This window comes from Homo sapiens, chromosome 3 (genome assembly GCF_000001405.40).
Source record: "Homo sapiens chromosome 3, GRCh38.p14 Primary Assembly".
In the NCBI taxonomy this organism is placed as follows: domain Eukaryota; kingdom Metazoa; phylum Chordata; class Mammalia; order Primates; family Hominidae; genus Homo; species Homo sapiens.
In genome coordinates, this window is record NC_000003.12 from 25,172,085 (window position 1) to 25,192,727 (window position 20,643).

Here is a 20,643-nt window from a genome sequence, read left to right on the forward strand (position 1 = left end):
TGTAAGTTCAGCGGAGTACTAGGGGGCCTGGGACCATATGGTCTCACTGTTGACACTGTTCGTTTTTAATATTAATAGGCCAGGGATTCAAGGCCCTGGGGCAGATGTCATCTAAGTGAGGACAGAAGCAAATATCACGACTGCTCACTGAGTTTTTCCTCTGTAGAGTACAACCAGCATAACAGGCGTTCAAAATATATAAGCTTAGCTTGGCAGAGGGGCAAGAGCAGAGAAGGTGATTCAAATTCTGGCTTAGCGAGGGCTTACTCTGTGACATTGAGGGGAATTCATTGAAACTCACTGAGACCTACTCTTCTCATCTGGAAAATAAAAAATATCTGCCTTAAAAAGGGTTAGAGCTTATAGTGAGGTGCCTCACATATGGTAAATAGTCAATGAAAATTATATTTGATTAGAACATTGTAGGGTTTATAAGAATCAAACTGACTCACTTCAAAAACTGAAGTCAAGAAGGCTTAATGAGTGATTGTTCTCAACCTTACCCAGATCCCTCGTTTTCTTCCTTACTTCAAGGACGTAAGCTTTAGTCCTAACATTGTTTTCCTGGGATTACTATAATGTAGTCTCCCTGCCCTAACCCCAAAACCTCTTGTCTATTCCAGCAAGCTTGTTGTGAGAAGCATATTATTTTGATGTGATAACAAATATGTTAATGTTAATAGAAACTCTTACCAAGCGTTTACTATTTACCTAGTGTTTACTATATACCAGGCACTGTTTCTCTGTTGTATTACTTCATTTAATCCTCACAATACCATTCTGAAGTAAATTCTATTATTCTTATTTTACAGGAAAAAAAAATAACATTGAAAGGACAAATAATTGCCAGAGGGGCAGAATTATTTGAGCTGGACACACTGGCTCTAGAATCACGCTCTTAACAACTACTCTATTCTGGCCTTGAAGTACTCTTGTTTCGTGCCACATGAATCTTTTTTTGTGCCACATGAATACATTCAGAGGTTGCCATTCAGTGGGCAGAGTTTGGGAGCTTCTACTTAATATTGGTTATCAGGGCCAAGGTGAGGCTATGAAGTTTACAGCCAGCCCACTCTAGAATTTAAGCTTCTTCTATTCCCAGTCTCAAGGAATCCTAGGTGTTGAGCATCTCTGGATTGTCCTTCATGAAGCATGGGGCAGTTTAGACTTCTTTAACAATATGACCTCAATCAATAGTTGTTAAAACTAGCAGCTCAGGGCAGAAATCACATTAGTGTTCTTTGGCACTGTGTATATCTCTAGTTCTTACATTAGTGCCTGGCACATAATAGTGAGATTTGATTGGTGAATAGGTGACTGGATAGGCAGACAGACAAATGGGTCAACAAATGGATGGATGGATGCACAGTTGTGAAAGATGTTGATAATAAAGAAGTGATACATAATATTTTACTATCTCTCTCATTAGGTTATAGTTTCTCCCATAATTTTATTATCTTGGCTATGTCACTCCAAATAGCCACCGTAAAATCCAAAGTTACTCATATAAAAGAAGTAAAATTTGGAAGCATATCAGTTAGAATAGCATTAAATAGTTTCCCTAAAAAAGCAAGAAAAAAAATTTCATTCATTCAACTAATACATACTCAGGGTCTATCCCTTGTCAGGTACTCTTCTAGGAGCTTAAAGCATAACTGTTAACAAAAACACTCTGCCCTCCTGGTGAGTGCATGCTAATGGGGGAGACAGACAAAAACAAACACTCCCACATGTAATGTATCAAGTCGTTTAACTGCCATGGAGAAAAATTTAGCAGAGTGATATAGTCAAATAACACAGGAGTGGAGGTTTTGCTATTTAATATCAGATGGCCAGTTATTTTTAAATTGAGTAAAAGTTGTAGTCTATGTTAGAATGTGAGAAAAGAAAATTAACACTCTTTGGGAAGCAGTAACTGTAGGAAGACAAGGAATTAGGAGACCTGGATTAGTATTAGAGACGTTTTGTATAGTAACTTGATAAAAAGGGAGAGATTTTTTGTGATATATATATTTTTTTCATTTTTTCTTACAGAATTAACAGCTCTGAAATTTGAAGGTGCTAGTGTCTCACTGGTCTTAAACTGCGAAGCTGAACGACGAAAGCATCCTTCCTGTAATCAGTGTAGCAAAATGACAGGCAGAGAAACCATGCTGGGAAGAAGCAAGGTCATCAGTTGAACCATCTTGACTTTGGCCCAGAACACAGCTCAGCCTCAACTCCTGCAGTGCATTTGCCTCCCTCACTTTGGTTTAAGACCTGGAGTGATGTGTTCCTGCTCCAGAGCACCTTTCTTTCTGTGAGGCCCGAAACATGACCACCAGCGGCCACGCATGTCCGGTCCCAGCAGTGAACGGACACATGACTCACTATCCAGCCACACCCTACCCGTTACTCTTTCCACCTGTCATCGGAGGACTTTCCCTGCCTCCCCTCCATGGCCTTCATGGACATCCGCCTCCGAGTGGATGCAGCACCCCGTCGCCGGCAAGTAAGTCCTGCTGGAATTTGCTCTCTTTTCTCTGGGTTGATTGGATGAAGGGACCTGAGAAAACGGAATGGTTGGTATCCAGGGCAATTTCTTATTTCATTGGGTGCTGGTTTCTTTTGGTCTTGAATTCTACTTTTAGTTCTGTGGAAAGAGATATGATTTGAAACTAGACAAGTGGCAAATTTTAGAATTCAACCCGTTCAAAGCTGCTTTGGTATTTTGCTCTGTTTCATAAAATGCAAACACAAAAAGTGATGAGCATGTGTGGTTAATATCTGTGATCAATATCTAAAGAAATTGGCCATATGATAAATAATGGAAGCAGTGAATTAGGAGATGATACCATAAAAATCACTAATGATAATACTAGAGTTAAAAGCTATTTTGGTTGTGAGATCTTCTCTGAATCTTTTACTTGTTTCCTGTGTACAAATGATATCTGTAATTGTTCTCAACTTCCCATAGACCTTTGCTACCAATTCATATCACATTAAGCTTTTTTAGTGTCCTTGGCACCTTTTGTTTCTGTACTAGCTATTTCTTATCCCAGATCTTCCCTTAAATTTTCTGTATAAGGTACTATAAAATAAAAATAGTCAAAGTTAGAATTCTCCAAGACTGATATGACTTCCACATTGAAACATCTATATTGTGCAATTTTTAGAAAGTTCTGCCTGTTTAAAGACAAACTGTGGTAGCCAGCGAGCTTTTCCACCTGTTAATAACAACTTACTTGGTTTAGCATCTGGAGGTGAAAAGGCATATTTATTTAACAACAGGCATCCACAGCATGTTCTCCAAGTCCTTTCTGGCTCATAGAGCAACAGTTCTTTGTAACTCTTCCTGGTGATTGTTTTGCATTTTGCTTCTCTTCAAGGACTTCCCCCAAATATTAGCATGGTATCATTGGGATACCACCTTAATCTTTCTATATTGTGCTCTTCGTGCCTTCAGTCATTCCTTCTACTACATCCTTAGCTCACCGAAAGCAGGGAGCTTGTTCTACCTAAGTAGAATCCCCGGTACATTGCCTTCAAAAATAGTAGGGGATGGGTGTTTGGATGGACGAACAGACTGACAGATAGGCAAACAGATGATAGACTTGCACTTTTGGGATGTTGATTGCAATCATAGTACTATATCATTCCTGATAAACAGTGACTCGATTTGCTGATGAGTCTTTCCTTCTGTGTTTCGAATTTCTGGCTTGAACATTTGACCCTCATGTCTCTGGAATTGCCTAAAAACCTCCTCCCATGCTTCTGAAGTTCAAACTGAAAGTTGAAGCAGCCAAAGCGGCGTATTGACTATCCAGAGAAATGGACATAGTACCAGTACTCAAAATATCTTGCTGACCCAAGTGCTGTTTCAAATCATGTTCACTCAATATGCAAATGATATAATGAAGTTACTTTTAGCTAACAAATGAGGAGGTCTAAATGATTGATAAAGCCATTAAAATTTTACCTATGAGCCTCTGTGTCTAATTCCGTTGCTCAACTGGCCTGACAGCACATTTTAACAGGTTTCTTTCCTGAGATCAGAAGCATATTTTGTAGATGTAGCCAAGAAGTTGAGATATGAGTAGGATTCCCATGCTGAATGATCAAATTTGGCAGATTGAAACTCTAAGGCAGCCTGAAACCTCTAGGTTCCCAAAAGCAACTTTGGGCTTTGGGCTTCTTTGGCTACTGATTTATTTTTATTTATATTTATCTTTTCTTTCTTTCTTTCTTTCTTTCTTTCTTTCTTTCTTTCTTTCCTTCCTTCCTTCCTTCCTTCCTTCCTTCCTTCCTTCCTTCCTTCCTTCCTTATTTATTTATTTATTTATTTATTTTTGAGATGGTATCTCGCTCTGTCGCCGGGCCAGAGTGCAGTGGTGTGATCTTGACTCACTGCAACCTCCACCTCCCGGTTTCAGGTGTTTCTCCCACCTCAACCCTCTGAGTGACTGGGACTACAGGCACGCACCACCACACCCAGCTAATTTTTGTATTTTTAGTAGAGACGTGGATTCACCATGTTGGCCAGAATAGTCTCGATCTCTTGACCTCATGATCCAGCCACCTCAGCCTCCCAAAGTGCTAGGATTATAGGCGTGAGCCACCGTGCCCGGTCTTGGCTACTACTGATTTTAAGGAAAATGCAGAGCATATTAAATGGAAAAATGGTTGAGATATATCATATCTAAGCCTCTTTTGCACTCAAAATACAAGGTAATTATTTTTATTTCACAGTTACTAATAAAGTACAAGATGCCATTACTGTTAGATTAAACTATAATGCAGTTGTCATTTTCTAGATCAAAACTGGTTATATAGTGGCAATTGAATAGATTCAACCTTTGAAAAGCGAGGGTTTGAAGTTCAAAAAAAGGGTAAATAGTGGCTGACTTTTTTCTTGAGGGCCTTGTAAGGAGAGTGCTAAGTAACTGCACCTTAAAAGGTGTTTGGAGAAGGGGCAGAAAAAGGACTAGGTACAGAAAGTTCAGGCTGGAACATCAAAGATTACTTACTTCATACCCTAATACCTTGTATTATTATTTCTTGCTACAGTCGAAGCACATGAAAGCTGCTCAGATGGAAATGATTAAAAGAAGCCACAATGAATATGACTCTGTTAGTTGGCCCTCAAAGAAGGAATTGTCCTTGTTAAAGCCCGTGTTTTCAAAAGTTCCTAGAAAAGGACAAAGACTTAAAAATTAACCACAGACTTGGCTAAAAATAAATTTAAGGTTTTTATCCATGTACTGAGATTAGTAGGAAGGTAGCCAAATTCTGTAAAGACTCAATAACTAGCAACACACATACTTGGGTGGAAAAGCTGACCAACGTGGAATAAAAAGGGAGCAAACATGTTGGAGAATGACTCTGTAAAGAGATTCATGTCATTGAACTGTAGGACTTACTGATATCTCTTTTGTAATCTGTACATGTCTTGATTCTGCAGCTCACTAGAAAGAATAAATTCTCCTGCCCCTGTAGTGAGGGTCTGTCAGCACCAAGTAATTGTAAAGGCTCAATAATTCTCTACCTCAAAAGCAAGTAAGAACAATTTCCATAGCAGCTACTGAGGTTATACCTGCTTGTCACTCTTCTCTCATTCCCTTCTAACTCTTGTCAGCTTTATCTCCTAGACCTGAACCTGAGCTCTGCATATTGAACTTCTCTAAGCCTACAGCACAATGGCTCCATTCCCACACATAAAGTTGTCCTTGATGCTATATCTACTTTGCAGTCATTTAACCTCTCTGAATTTCTATTCTATCAACTATAAAATATTTTTACTTACAGAACAGACTTTTATTATATATCTAAATCTTTTAAGAATGAAGTCGAAGTCTAAATTAGAAAGGAAACTTGTACTTTAAAGGGGTGAAATCAGATCATACCCAAGATCTTTTCAGCTCTAATAGGCAATGATTTCACGTAACTCAGGTTTCTCCCGGTCCACATGCCATTTACAGGGGGTGGGCCCTGTTCTTTTGCAGTGTGGAATAATTGGCTATTGGTATGATCATTTGTGACCACTCACAATTCGTAGGGGAAGATGTGGCCACTTTTCCGAAGGTCTGTTCTCAAGAACTTTCTACCTTAAAGAAGAAAAGTTATTTGCAGAAGAGAACTTGAAAGCATCTTCTGTGTGTACATGCCCTTGTCTTTGCATTCTGACTTAATTTTTATAGCATAGAGTTTCTGTAAGCTTAGAACACAGGGAACATACGAAAAAAGGGGGAGTTAAAATATGTAATTAGAAAAACTACCATGCATTGAGCACATTTTGGATTACTCACACAGCATTTAGTGTATGCCATTCTTAGTCTTTTTAATAGCCTCGATGTCACTGCCATTCCATTACAGAAGTTCCATTTTACAGATAAAGACCAGGAGGCTTAGAGAGAGTAAAGAGCTTACATAACCAGTTAATGTTGGAGTCAAATTCCAAATCCAGACCCCGAGACCCCAGAGCGCATGCCTTTCCCAGTGTTTTGGGCAATGAGGCCAGCATAATCCCTTGGAAAATTGACAGCTCCACCATGGACATCTTTTTTCCACGATGTTCCAGGGAGTCCTTGGAGATGATAGATATTTAAAGGACCTTGCAACCTCTTTAATTTAATCAACTACTGTGGAAGCCACTATCAGTTTTCGTCACAATGGAGACTTGAGAGAGTGCCGCCGTACTGCCTTTGATAAGCATGACTTCCAACAGGAGAAGAGCCTGATATGCTATGCCAGGGAACACTCAAAATATTATGTGGTAGGGCTCTCTGTGAGAGTTGGACAGCTGTCTGTCTGTCTCTCTTTATGTTCCTTTCATGGCTGCTTGTTCTGTTTTATTGCTGCACATGTGCTTTTTATAGGTTGTTGCAAGCTGGAAAATATTGTTAAGTGTTTTGGCTTCAGAATCTCTCTCAAAATGATCTTAGTTTAACTCCAGCATCTTAAAATGCGAATTCTTTTCCCCTTCTTTTTTAATGATCAGAAAGTGCTCTCCTGTCAAAATCACAAAATAGGGTATTTGCTTAAAAAATCCCAACCTTCTGGAGAGACAGGCTGTGCAATCTCAGAATTACCAATGATGGAACATAAAATGAGTCTTATTTCTATTTTTTGTCTTAAACTAAGAAGAGCTTTGTTACCTAGCTTGTCTAAAGCAGGGTGTGCTGATCGATTGAATTTCCTTATTACATGTTAGGGACAATTGGCTCAGAGGTGTGGATCCTGTTTTAAGTATATGCAGATTGATGGCAAGTAAATCCAACTCATTAATTTCTACCATCACCTTTTACTCCATAGTCTTGTCTTCTTTCTATTGAGTTATATTTGTCCTTAAACTTATGCAATGACTCTACTGGACAGGAATCACATTTGATTTTAAGATATCAGGGACTTAATATATTGCTGGTATTTTGTGAAAGTCAAACATAATAGTATCATTTATATCTATGTATCCTTACATTGTTAAACCAAATAAAAATGAATGAAAGTAAGACACTTCTTGGGAATTTGAGTAAACTCAGTTATAACAGTTTTGTCCATTTTACCTCCCTCATTGGCTTAGGGAGGTCAAAGGCTTTGAATGTTTGAGAAATAGAGTTTATACTGTTGACATGATGAAACTATTTTAGTGGACTTTCTTAGGCCCAGAGTCATGTGTATTTAAGAGGCCATTCCTTAAAGCTGAACAGGTATTGATTACTTTAGTGCCTCTTTTCCCCCCAAAAACAAGAATCTTTGTGTCTTCTTGATGTTTCTACAACTTCCCCAGACTCTGGTTGAGTATAACATGTATTAAGTAATCACATTGCCATTAAAAGTAATGGCAAGAACCACAATTACTTTTGCACCAACCTAATAATCCTTAGAAGAGTTCTAATGAGGAGCTGAGCTCATTCTGTTTTTTGATCTTTACCCCCAAAGGGATCAAGAATATATGAATATGAATTAAAAACAAAAAGAATATCATTCACTTTGATCAGATTAACTACAATGCCCAAAGGAGTGTCTCAATTGTGGAAGTATGTCCCTAAGTAGAGGTAGGCTTTCAGTCCGTAGAGGCCATCATAAAGACGGGAATGACTTTACCTTCAAGTTACTTCTGCCAATCACCTTTTTCCTAGGAAGGACATGACTGAAAGAATATATATAAAGAAGGACCAAGAATGGAGAAAAGATGGAGTAATGGTTTAAGAATTTGTATTAGAATTCCTTTCGATAAAGACATTCCGGTTGTATTTATTAGATAAAATGTAGACGTTTAAAAAGAGCATTTTGACCTTATAAAAATTGAACTTTGGAAAAGTTAGAATCATGACAATGGCTTTGAGTTGGCTGAGTTCATTATAGAAAATGAGACTTTCCATATCTCATGTTCTAAAGTTCTGCCTCAATGAACTCATCCATCTGCAACTCCTATAGATTTCAAATAGGTTATATTCAGATGGCCTTGAGCGATGGGAGATTAGCCTCCATGCAGGTAGGTGGACATGAGGTCAGGTGGAGTGGCCTGGGCCATCTTCAGGATATATCCCAGGAAGTCCCACAAAAGCTCTGGTGACTTATGCCTTGTCACTGACGTGATGCAGCGACTCATTCTGTCTTTGTTTCTCTGTTTTCTCCTTTAGTTCCCTCTGACATTTGAATGAATCTTTGTAATTTTATGTAGAAGGAGAGGGTAGGGGAGAAGGAAAGAGGAAGGGAGAAAAAGAGGGAGAGAGAGAAAGAATGAATCTAATTAGTCTTGTTATTTGAACACATCCAAAAACTTGGGGCTCCCAGACCAACCAATGGTCAGGTGGTACCATCAATTCCCTTGCTTTTTTTTAACCTTGCCATGAAAATTAATTGTCAAAAATAACATTTCTTTTGCTACATATATTACCTCTGTCTGCCAACTGGAAAAGGGAAATAGAGAAGGTAAGATCCAGGTAACCAACTTTTCTAAGGTTGCTCAGTGGTGGGGCTGGGCTTGAACTCTTCTTGTTATGACCAAAGTCAGTCCTCTTTTCATAACTCTATGTTTGCTGTGGATATTGAGGGGACACACAGGTTTTTAAAGCACTTTGTCTGTCTTTAAGGATATTGCATTCCTACTGAGAAGTCATAATCACTGAAAACCATTTAGATCTAAAACCCTGATTGCTCTTTGGCCCTTCAGGACCTAGATTTTATGAAGCTTATAACATTCCTTCCCACCCAGGTACCCACTGTGCATCGTAAGTACTCTGATTTACTATGCATGTCTTATTCTGCTGTCTTTAGTTGTTTTCATAACTTTTCCTTCACTGCTTATCTGGTGATCTAACACATGGGACATAGTAGAGAAACCCATTTCATCTTTGCGGAATGATTGAATCAATGGTTTTTGCTGGTGAGGGAATTTTGGAAATTTGTAGATGTGCTTTTGAGTGCCATGCTCATTGGGAGCGCTGTAGAGATTTAGTGGGCAGAAGCTAGGAGGCTTAATGTCCTGCAATGTATGCGATAGTTGCAAATAATAAAGAAGTGCCTCATGTTCTCATGACTTTCCGATGTCCCACCAGGCATTCCTGTTAAGAACCACCCCTACCCCCAAATAAATTATGATGAACTGATCCTAAATCATAACTTCATTTTACATATAAATGCAAAACATTGTTGTATGCTTTTATTATACCCTAAATTATTTAGGATTTTAATTGCCATGCAAGTCAGTAGTAGGTTGATCTTTGTTCTGTTGGGAACTCTTCTGAGAGTCATTCATCATTTTATAAAATCATGTCACCGATGGCAGTGCTGTTCTCGGTATTCAAGTCACCAATTCCACAAACTTGTGTCAATCTGCATTCATAACTAAAACATTCACTCTAATTCTGCATAGAGGGGCAAGCATCTTACCACTTCTTTATGCCTGAGCAATTACACATTGAAATAACCATTACTTTATTAAAAATTACATTTTTCTATTCATCCTTGGTATTGCAGTCAGAGAAATGTATTAACTTCTTTGGAATTACATGTAGGTGTAGGTGGCCTATATTACCTATGACTTTCATTTTGGAATCATACAGCAGGTGATATGTGTTGCTAAAAGAAGCATTGGTTCCAAAGGGTTGAGAATCTTTGGAATGAATGAGTGAATGAATGAATACATGAATGAATTAGTGAAAAAATAACAGTGTGAAATAAACTGACTAGAAAATAAATGCTCTAGCTGTTGAGAGGAAGGGAGTTAATAAGTGAGATGGACAAAGGAGGGCTTGCAACACCAGAACCAGCAATTATGCCAGCCATGGGGTACTGGGCATGGTGCTGGGAACAGCGATATGCAGAAGACCCAGGGAAAGCAGGAAAGTTTCCTGTCTTGGAAGGCATATGGGGTTAGGAAGTAACCATCTAGTACTTGCCTTCATTTCTTGATGTGTAGCCAATGTAGCCAATGTCCCCAAGGGGTATAAAAGGGACTCAAAAGTATTGTTATAATGAATTCACTCTTCTGATATATATTTAACACATAAGGGTTGTGTTAGGTATTGTGTCAGACACCTCAGAAGCTCTGTGAGAATTTTCTGGGTAAATCCATGAGAATGATGGGTTTTCACTTGTGTGTGGTGTCAGGTTCTATCTCCAATGAGACATTATATTAGTATTTACCAGAAAAATTGTAAAATTATTATGGATTAAATTGTGTCCTCTAAAGAGATGTTGAAGCCTTTACCCCCAGTACCTGTGAACATAGCCTTATTTGGAAATAGGATTAAGTTAAGATGAGGTTATTAGGGTGAGCCCTAATCCAGTATGACTATGTCCTTATAAAAGGGGGAAATTTAAACACAGAGATAGAGACACATGTGAAGATTGGAGCTAGCTGCCAAAAGCCAAAGACTGCTGGCAAGCCACCAGGAGCTAGGAGAGAGACATGGAGAACATTCCCCCCACAGCTCTTAGAAGGAGGCAACCCTGCCAGCACCTTGGTTTTGGACTTCTGGCCTACAGAACGGTTTGTGGTATTTTGTGACAGCAACTCTAGAAAACTGATACAGGGACCATAACTTCTTACTACCGAAAAAGAAAAAACTATGTTTTCGAAACTTTCTCCCTCTAAAAATATCCATTAATTTGTTTATTTTCTCATAATTTTGTCCTTATAATGACTTTCTTTTCCTACTTCATGTGGCTTCTTTGGCTTGGACTAATGAATAATATTTGAAGAAAGGACTTTTTTTATTACTGCATAGCCAATCTGTCTTTATCCTGACAGCTACAAGTCCGTGATTATAATTCACAATGTTCACAATTTTTCAGAATGAATTTCTTTCTCTTCCTCTGATTTTCATTTTGTCTTACTGGATGGCAAACTCCCATCTCCTTTCTTGACCTCAACATGTTCTCTTTAATATTCATTTTATTCTTCATTTTAAAACCTTTGCCTCAAAACCCTGCAGGATTACTCATCACTGTCAAATTGGAATCTGTGAGATTCTTCAGAAAAACCATTCATATTACAAGTTCATATTCAAGTTTCAGTCACCGAGGGATTATTGGTGGCAGTGATCTTATTATAATTATCAGTTCTGTATTATCTTGAACATCGCCTTATTGGCTTATCTTCTAGTCTCTCTTTAGGATTTGTATACTATAAATTTATCGTACAAACTTACATATTGACTTTGCCTCAGCTTCTAGTGTCCAGAATTCTTGGACAGTCTTTCAACAGTCAAATTGTAACGATTCCTCTGTCCATCCCTAGCATCTCTCCTGCAATAACACTTATTGTCTTCTCCCTTATATTTAGAGCTAATTTTGTTATGTAATTAGTTGTACACACTTTTGGTGTCCTGGTCTTTATATCTGTCCCCATTAGTTCCCCTTATCCAGGATTCTTTTAGTTTCTTATGGCCAAAAGCCTATGTAAGCTTCTTTGAGGTAACCTAGGGTTTCACCACATTAAACTTTACTAAAGGATTCTGGCCCTAACTAAATCCTTCCCTGGTTAACTTGGCCCCTACCATTGTCTTTTTATGTTAATCAGATGAATCAAACTTAATAATATGAAAATCTACAAATACAGAGTTTGTTGTTTTTTTTTTCTAGTTATTGCCCAAATCTGAAAAAAGCCATTGTACATTTGGTGGAAATGACTGCTTTTCAATGAGAATGTGCATTGTTAATTTAGTGCTGAGATCCTTTGCCAAATGCCCATAAGCTTTGCAAATGTTCAGACAAAATTAAAAAAATAGGGCATTTTGAGAGTAAGGCCAGAGTTTATCTGTGGCTTTGTGGGCACTGATGATAGCACAGAGTTACCTGGCTGTTGTTTCATGGTGAATCACATGTGGTCCCGCGAGAAGTACTGCTTGGAGACTGCCCCTAACCTCTGGGAGCTTATAGTTAACTCAAAACTAATCATTAGGAAAGGTTCATCTTGTTGAACCACAATTGATGTTAGTGTTGAAAATCTAGGGGAGCGGGGAGATGCAGAAAGATAGGAAGTTGAAAATGGAGTGAGAGAGGTGGCTGCTTCCAGACCCAGTCTGTGTTCTTGGACAGATTTTTAACCTCTGTGTGCCATTTTCTCTGTAAAATAAGGACAATTTATCTTTGAAAAATTATGATGTTGTTCATGATCAATTTACATCAATTGATACATGTAAGCTACTTATAACAGTGTTACAAGAGTAAAAAGTAGGCTAAGTATGGTGGCTCACACCTATACTCCCAGCGCTTTGCGGGACTGAGTCAGGAGGATCACTTAAGCTCAGGAGTTAGAGACCACGCTGAGCTGTGATGACATCTTGGCACTCCAGCCTGGGCAGCAAAGCAAAACCCTGTGTCCAAAAAAAGAAAGAAAAAAAAAAGTAAAAACTTAGTAAATAATAGCATTCATTATTATTATCCATGCTTTGCGGCCACAATTCATCCACTTACTAGCAAAAATCTTGTCACAGGACAATCATTCCATTAATTATGCATTCTAACTTCCAAAATGCAAAGGTCTTTCTACATGTGCATGTGCTTTTGCACATATTTCTAAAGTTTACATTAGGCATATGGAAGTTTTCACTTCATAGAGCTTATACCCTGCCAAGATATATTTTTTTTTAATTTCAGAATTCTCAAGGGGACAATCCTAAGTTTGGGTATTAGAAAAGACATTTTTTCATAAGTAAGCTTGCCCTGATGAATAATTTTGTATTTATCATGAAGAGTTCACATCCAAGAAATACACAACATTTAAGGCTATTTTTCATAGATGAGGATCCTTTAGAGTTGGAGAACTAGTTAAAGACCAAACTTCCTTTTCTCTTAGGACCTGCGGGGTCTGCATGTCACTTTGTCCTTTATAAACAATCTCTAATAATGCTTGACTTAATTTCAGTGATGTTTATAATAATGAACACTTTCTAACACTAATATTAATTGCTTAACGGTTGTGAAATTGGCCAACCAAAAAGAAGTACCTAAGGAGAAAAATTAACCTTGACATTTCATACAAGTGAATAGTGCTTTAATGATAACCACATGGTTAAAAAGAACTCTACACTTAAGAATATTTAGTAAATCATTTTTTTTATAATCAGAATGGCTTTTATTAGAATGCCAAAACAGGAATTTCTGTGAGTCCTGATGGAAATCTCTGAGACATAAAGTGACTTTCATAGCCACATTGACTTCTGTCCTGACTTTGTGTAGGCAATTTTAGAATTTGTCTTTCATTTTTTCTTCTATAAGAAATCTTATTCCAGAACTAAAGCCAAATAACAAATCAAAGAATTCGTATGCCACTATTGATGATAATATTTGGTGACTACATTAAACATGTAATAGAATTATATATAAATTGCTGCAAAGGCTAACATCATCTTTAGTACTTGTCACAGTTTTTCTGTCTTCACTTTAAGAACAGAAAACAGAGTTGTATGTCCAGTATTGGGTGAACAAAGGAGTATTATGGAATGGAAAAAGAACAAAATTTGACCCTGGGAATTCCAGCATTCCAATTAAAAATACAACTAACAAAGACAAAATATATAAGAGCATAAAGTATGTATATAGACTTTGTGCAAGTCAGAAAAAAAGACAACCCCAACGAAAAATAAACAAAAGATTTTATTTCACTAAAAAGAAATTCAGATATCCCATATCAACCTCATATTGGTGATACAAATCAAGACAACCATGGTATGCCATTTTATATCCAGTACAGATGAAAAAATTAAGAATTATGGCTACAATACCAAGTATTAGAAAGAGTGTGGATCATCAGATACTTTGAAACACACGGCTGGTGAGATCCTACACTGGTATAATTGTTTTGAAAATGACTTAGCACATTCTATAAAATTGAATATTCAGATTCGATTTCAACCAAACAATTTTACCTCTATGTATTATTCTAGAGAACCTCTTTAATATGAATTTAGGTTTAAGAATGTTTATGGTAGCACTGGTCATAGATTATAAAAAAAGGATGCTATTTGAATATGAGCAGATGTAGGCAAAATAAGTGGTATATTCACTAAATTGAATATTATTCATCAGTGAAAATTTATACACCACGAACATGGATAGATCATAGAAAGATAATGAATGGAAATGAATGAAATGATAATGAATGAAAAACTCTTTAAGTGCACATATAGGGTGCCAACATTTTTATAAATTGTAGAAAAGAAATGATTTTTTTCCTCACCCATCTCTAGATTCATGACTGAGACACCTATAACAAAAGACAGATTAACATCAGAAAAAACATACAAATTTGTTTAATGTAAGTTATATATGCTTGGGAACCTTCAGAAATGAAGACCCAAAGAAAAAGGTAAGCCTGTGTGTGTGTGTGTGTGTGTGTGTGTGTGTGTGTGTGTGTGTGTGTGTGTGTGTTTTCCTGCTAAGTTTGATGAAGAGTAGCCAGTCATATCAGTCACACGATGGAACAAAGGAAGTAGGATTTAATGGTAATACCCTGAGGGGTGCTTCTCAAAACCAGTTTGCTTAGATTCTTGTCTGTGTCCATGCTTCTTCAGAGATAGGGATGTGCCTTTCCTCCTCTTATTGGGAGGGAACCTCTCAAATGAGGGTCTTATGACCTGCAGGAGAGCATGGTGAGAGGAAGAAGACAATGGCCTCTTACCTCTGCTTTTTTCTCAAAAACCATGCTGCCATAATATAGGACTAGCATGTTCTGAACCCTGTTAAAATCTAAAATAAACATTGTTTAGAAAAATAGGTATTTGTAAGAATGCTATATATTATTTATTTGTTACACTAACCTCAAGATAACAGGTACTTCTTGGTGGTGCAGTGGGACAGGCAAGTGGGTAGGATAAAGAACACATGAGTAGACACAGCAGAAAGGATAAAGTTTTAAGTGATTAAGTATTCATCTTCCAGTATGCTTTGCCATATGCATATATGTTACATTTTTATAGCTTATTAAACGTACATTACAAAGATAAAATATGAATATATCCTTCATGTGTTAGAGACAGGAGAAAGGGAAAGTTTTTTTTAAGGCAAATGGCTAATAAAAATACTTTTAATCTTTGTCTTAAAAGTAATTGAACAAAAGCAATTTTAAAAAGAAATGCAAATGAAGATTTCATTTGTTGTGACGAGGCACAGATTTAAAAGATTTCTGATGGTGTTCAGGCTACAGAGAAATGAACACTCAGATACAGCCTTGTTGTGGAGAAAGAAAATTAATATCTCTTTTCTGTGAAATAATTTTGAACTTAGTAAAAAGGCCTTAAAATATTTTACCTATGACTTTACATTTTGTTACGATGAATTTATTCATAATAAATAAATGTTTTAGTGTGTTTGAGACAACACAGATATTAGCACAGACATGTTTGTAATTAAAAAACTGAAGACAACCTTCCTGGCTAATAAGAGGTGACTGATTAGAGAATGAAAATAACAAGCAGTCCTTTAAAATGTCGATGGAGAAATGAATGTATTGACATGGAAATATTCAATGGGATAAACAAGTTACCGAATTAATAGAATTAAATATTAAGTATCAAGACAATATTCTTACATTTTTAACATATATATTGTATATGTTTTGGGGTATCCATGTGGGTTTAGGACAAATTCTAGCAAGCATATTAATAGTCTTCATTTCTGGGTCAGGGAATCATCCCTGATGTTTTATTTATCTTTATTCAGGGACCATGACATCTTGCTCATCATTGAATACTCATTGCTCAGAGCTTGGTGCTTGGCACATAGTAGGTGCTCACTAAATGTTTGTTGTATAAATAAATGTGTTTAATAATTATTTATGGAACTAATTTTAAAAAGGGAGACCTTTTATTGGGTTAATTCAATTGTATTCGGCTGAACCAAATATCCTAGCTAAATCAAGATCAAAAGTATTCATGCCTGATTCTATTTCCAAGAAATTAACCCTTCAGAGGTTTATTAGCATTTTGAAGTGTTAACTTCTAAGCTAAGGTCCTGATCGTGCAGTGGTAAAATTTCCAAGGAGGTATTTTGGAGTAGAAAAGTTATTCTGTCAGCTTCTTTGAAAGCGGTATCATCTGATATCCATGTACTCTACCCATGACTAAGTCATTCTGTATTTTATTAGGCTTCAGCTAAATTATAAATGTTGTTATTATTACTATCTATAATAATTATAACTACCATTTGTGTGAGAAACTATATACATCATCTTGTTTTTTACCCACAATAGATAATATGAGGTATTTCTTGAATTCATTTACTTATACATACCATGTTTTATTTGGAAAAAGAAAGATTTTATGACCACTTGTGAAAAAATTATATGTGTAACTTTTTAAAATTGTAAATGAGGACATTTGGGGAAAGAGAAAATAAGTACAGGGAAACAGGTTGAAGCCCATTTGAGGCCAGTGCATTAAAATGCATCCTATGATATAGATAATAAATGTTGCTCAAACAAACTAAAAGTCTAACCCAAGAAGAGGAGTCACAAAGTCATATAGTTGACAGAGTTCATAAAATGAAGTCATCCAGGCATGCAGAGAAGCACAAATGACTGTACCATGAACCACATCCCAACTCTACCTTTATAATAAATATGATTCTTTATGTGTGTTTGTGTTTTTAATATCATCCCTCAATGTAGGCTAAATTAATCATTCCAAAGGTCAGTCAGCAAAAGCAGGTCCCTGCAGGGGTCCAAACCCTGTCTCCAGGTACATCGCTCTCTGACAGTCTAAGTTTAATCCAAAAATAAATATTAGAGTGTCAAGATAAATAAATGATCTTCATAGCCTTCGGGCAATTATCCATAAAAACTATTTTCCTTAGCCAAAGATTTTTGTAAGCATTGAGAAACCATGAATCTGAAGTAATACTCCCTTGACAAGGACCTGAGGAGCCAAAGGCCCAACCCTCCCCTAGGAGCAGGGGCCCCAGCAGTGCCCAGGAAAAGGCCAAAATGTTCCCTCACAGAATCATTTTGAATCAGCTCCAACAGACAACAGGTGATGGAAGATGTACAGCAGCATGTTCAAAAGCTTAGACCCTGGAGTCAGAAAATCCTCAGTTGTTGGGCTGGCATGGTGGCTCATACCTGTAATCCCAGCACTTTGAGAAGCTGAGGTGGGTGGATTACTTGAAGTCAGGAGTTCAAGACCAGCCTGGCCAACGTGGCAAAACCCTGTCTCTATAAAAACACAAAAATTAGCCGGCATGGTGGTGGGCGCCTGTAATCGCAGATACTCAGGAGGCTGAGGCAGGAGAATTGGTTGAACCCGGGAAGTAGAGTTTGCAGTGAGCTGAGATCATGCTACTGCACTCCAGCCTGGATGGCAGAATGACATTCTGTCTCAAAAAGGAACAGGAAAGAAAGAAAATCCTTCATTGGGGCCCAGCTGTGTGATCCCCGGATAAACTCCTCACCTTTCCTTTTTATGTGCTTGCAGTGGGGCCAGAGTTAGAACTGAATGAAGTAATGTTTAGGAGAGACTTTGCATAGAGCCTCAGTTAAGCCCAATTTATTCCTCAGTTTGGGTCAATTTATCGATTGTGATGCATAGGGGTTGGGGGAAGAGGAGGAATATGAAGAAATAAAGGTAAATTGTCAATGGAAAATCATAGTATCTAGAACTTTCCCATGGAAGGAGACCAGTAGAAACAAATGGATTCAAGAGTTAAATTTTCCTCAATCTAATTCTCTCTGGACATAGGAACAGTCAATGAGTGTACTCACATGTTCCCTTACACCCCCAACCAGGCCCATACCCCAGGCAGATACACGCAACAAAAACACTCAAGGGAGAGTATGGTTCATGTTTCCAAATGATAATGCCTTCTTTTGTGTACTGATATGTGCAACTATATATGCATATATATGTGTGTATATATATTTTGGGTAGAAGTGTAAAGTATTTCTAATCTTACTGTGGGTCTTGCATTATAGAGCACTCCAGGAGATGTTTAACTGGCATGTTCTGTTTGAGGTCACAATGTGCCAAATTTTTTCATGGAAAGCTTCAGCTGATCAACTAAAAAATGCATTTATTTAACAGGCAAATGAAAAAGAGACTGCCAGGTGATTCCTTGAGGTGTGGTTAATTAATTCCAATCTGTTTATGGCAACAGTTTTCTAGTTTCAAATGATAAATGCCCTTCCTCCAAAAAGGAACCTCAAAGAGAAAGGGTCTCCTCCCCACTTCTAGATTTTTTTCTTTGTCCTTGGCTACTTATGTCGCGTGCTGCTTAGAATGAGTTCACATCAGTAATAGTCATAAATGATTTACAAAAGTAATTCCTGTCTAATCACTTGGGACTTGGAGTTTTTATGATGTTGCCAGATGTGCCATCAAAAAAAATCATCTGGTTCAGAAACTTGTGCTAAATCAAGTCAGAGTCAATTAATTCCCTAAAGGCAACTGATTGGTTTGCATGGATCTGTGTTGGGGGCCTCGCCCATCATCTAACTCTTTTCCTCCTTAGGTTCACGTTTGTTTTGTAAAAAACAAAAACAACTCTGTAAACACAAAGTTATTGGGAGGCTGTCAGCATGGGCATGTATTACAGACTTTGATATAACTTCCATGTTTCTTTCATGTATTAAAAGGGCATTTTAGTCCATGAAAAAAATAGGGGAAAGTTTTCAAAACCCCAAGCAAACATATTTCTTATATAGACTCTGTTACTCACAATACTGGCAGCAATATTGCATAAATACTTGGACATTGCTTGTGGGACAATATTATTCCCTTTTGAATGAAAGCTCCCCTTAGAATCCATCTTTACTTCCTCTGGGCCCTTAACACATGAGTTTTATATCTCTAATAAAGAATTTTGTTTATTCCACCTTATAATGTGGTCATTGGTTTAAACTTTTATCCCTCCCATGAAATTGTCCCGTGCTAAGAGCAAGTGCCATATTATCTCCTACCTCACTTAGGGTGATGCCTTTGACCAGGGAGATTCTGAGTAACTTTGTTAAATGAAGGAAAGAATCCAAAAATGGACAGCTATGAATTTTCCTTCCAAAGCACATGGGGAAATAAGTGAAAAGATCCATATTGAGCTTTTAAATCACTTTGCTGGATTGTGTTACAGTAACTAAGCTGGGCAATAACTAAGTAACTTGCATTGGGGGAAGACATTAACTCAGTCTCTTCCATCTATGCAAGGATTTGAAATGGCACCTCCCAAACCAGAAATTCTCTGTTCCCAAATTATACTCCCTCAGTGGAGATTAAAATATCTATAATCCAGTGTTACAAGGCACAGTAGTTTGCTTCAATGACAAATTAAATCTTTGAGAAAAGGTTCCCCATGTTGTCTCTGATTACATAGTCAAGGAATCTTGTGAATTTGCTGATGCGTAAGTTTTCCTTTAATGTAAAGCAGGCAGACGAGGCGGGGGTGTGGAGAAGAGAGTCTCTTAGGGGAAGACAGTGAGTGTTGACATAATATCGAATCACGGCAGTTATTCTGGAAGTACTTATTTAAACAGCTTTGCAAAAGTGTAACAATGATTGAGAGTTTTGAATGTTCAAAATCTAATATTTACATGATTCTTCATCTTTGGATCTTGTAGGACATGAAGGTAGTGTCTTTGCTTAATGATGTTGTGAATATCAGAATATGAATGAGAAACCTTGTTGGTATGATTCTCTAAGTACAACTAAATAACCTCTCATAGTTAAATAATTTATACATAAGACTGAAGCATAGTAGCCTCTTGAGGCATCTCATAAGCTATTCTTCAGATATCCTGCTACAGTTAAAAGATTTTGATTGGTAAAGATCGTGTAATTGTTTTAAAACTATTGGTTGACAATTTTGTGGTACTAGCTATGTAAATATCCTCCCTGATGAATGGAAGGGAAATGATGGAGCATAAGATACACCTATTCAATAAAATACTACAGACACTATAAGTGAACTTTTAATATGCCTGTAATAGGAATTAAAAGTTTTTTGTAGATAACCTATCATGCTATTTATTAATTTAACATTTAGTACTGCTCTTTACTCATCGTGTTTTCCATCAGTGGTTCTCTACTTGGGGCAGAACTGTTCCCTAGCAGGCATTTGGAATTATTTAAAAGTTTTTGGTTTGCCATAATTAGGGGTTACCTCTGGCAATTAATGAGTGGCACAAGGATGTTTTGGCATCTGTACTGCCTCAGACAATCCTGAACCACAAAACAC

At 37.3% G+C, this 20,643-nt stretch overlaps 1 protein-coding gene across 1 annotated transcript in view; it reads left to right on the forward strand.

Annotated features, from left to right (window-relative positions):
- Positions 1 to 20,643, forward strand: part of RARB (retinoic acid receptor beta) — a 768,612-nt gene that overhangs the window by 342,764 nt on the left and 405,205 nt on the right. The window contains exon 4 of the mRNA NM_001290216.3: positions 2,035 to 2,491. Coding sequence (NP_001277145.1) covers positions 2,314 to 2,491 — 178 coding nt within the window. The 5' untranslated portion in view covers positions 2,035 to 2,313. The remainder of the gene's footprint in view (positions 1 to 2,034; positions 2,492 to 20,643) is intronic.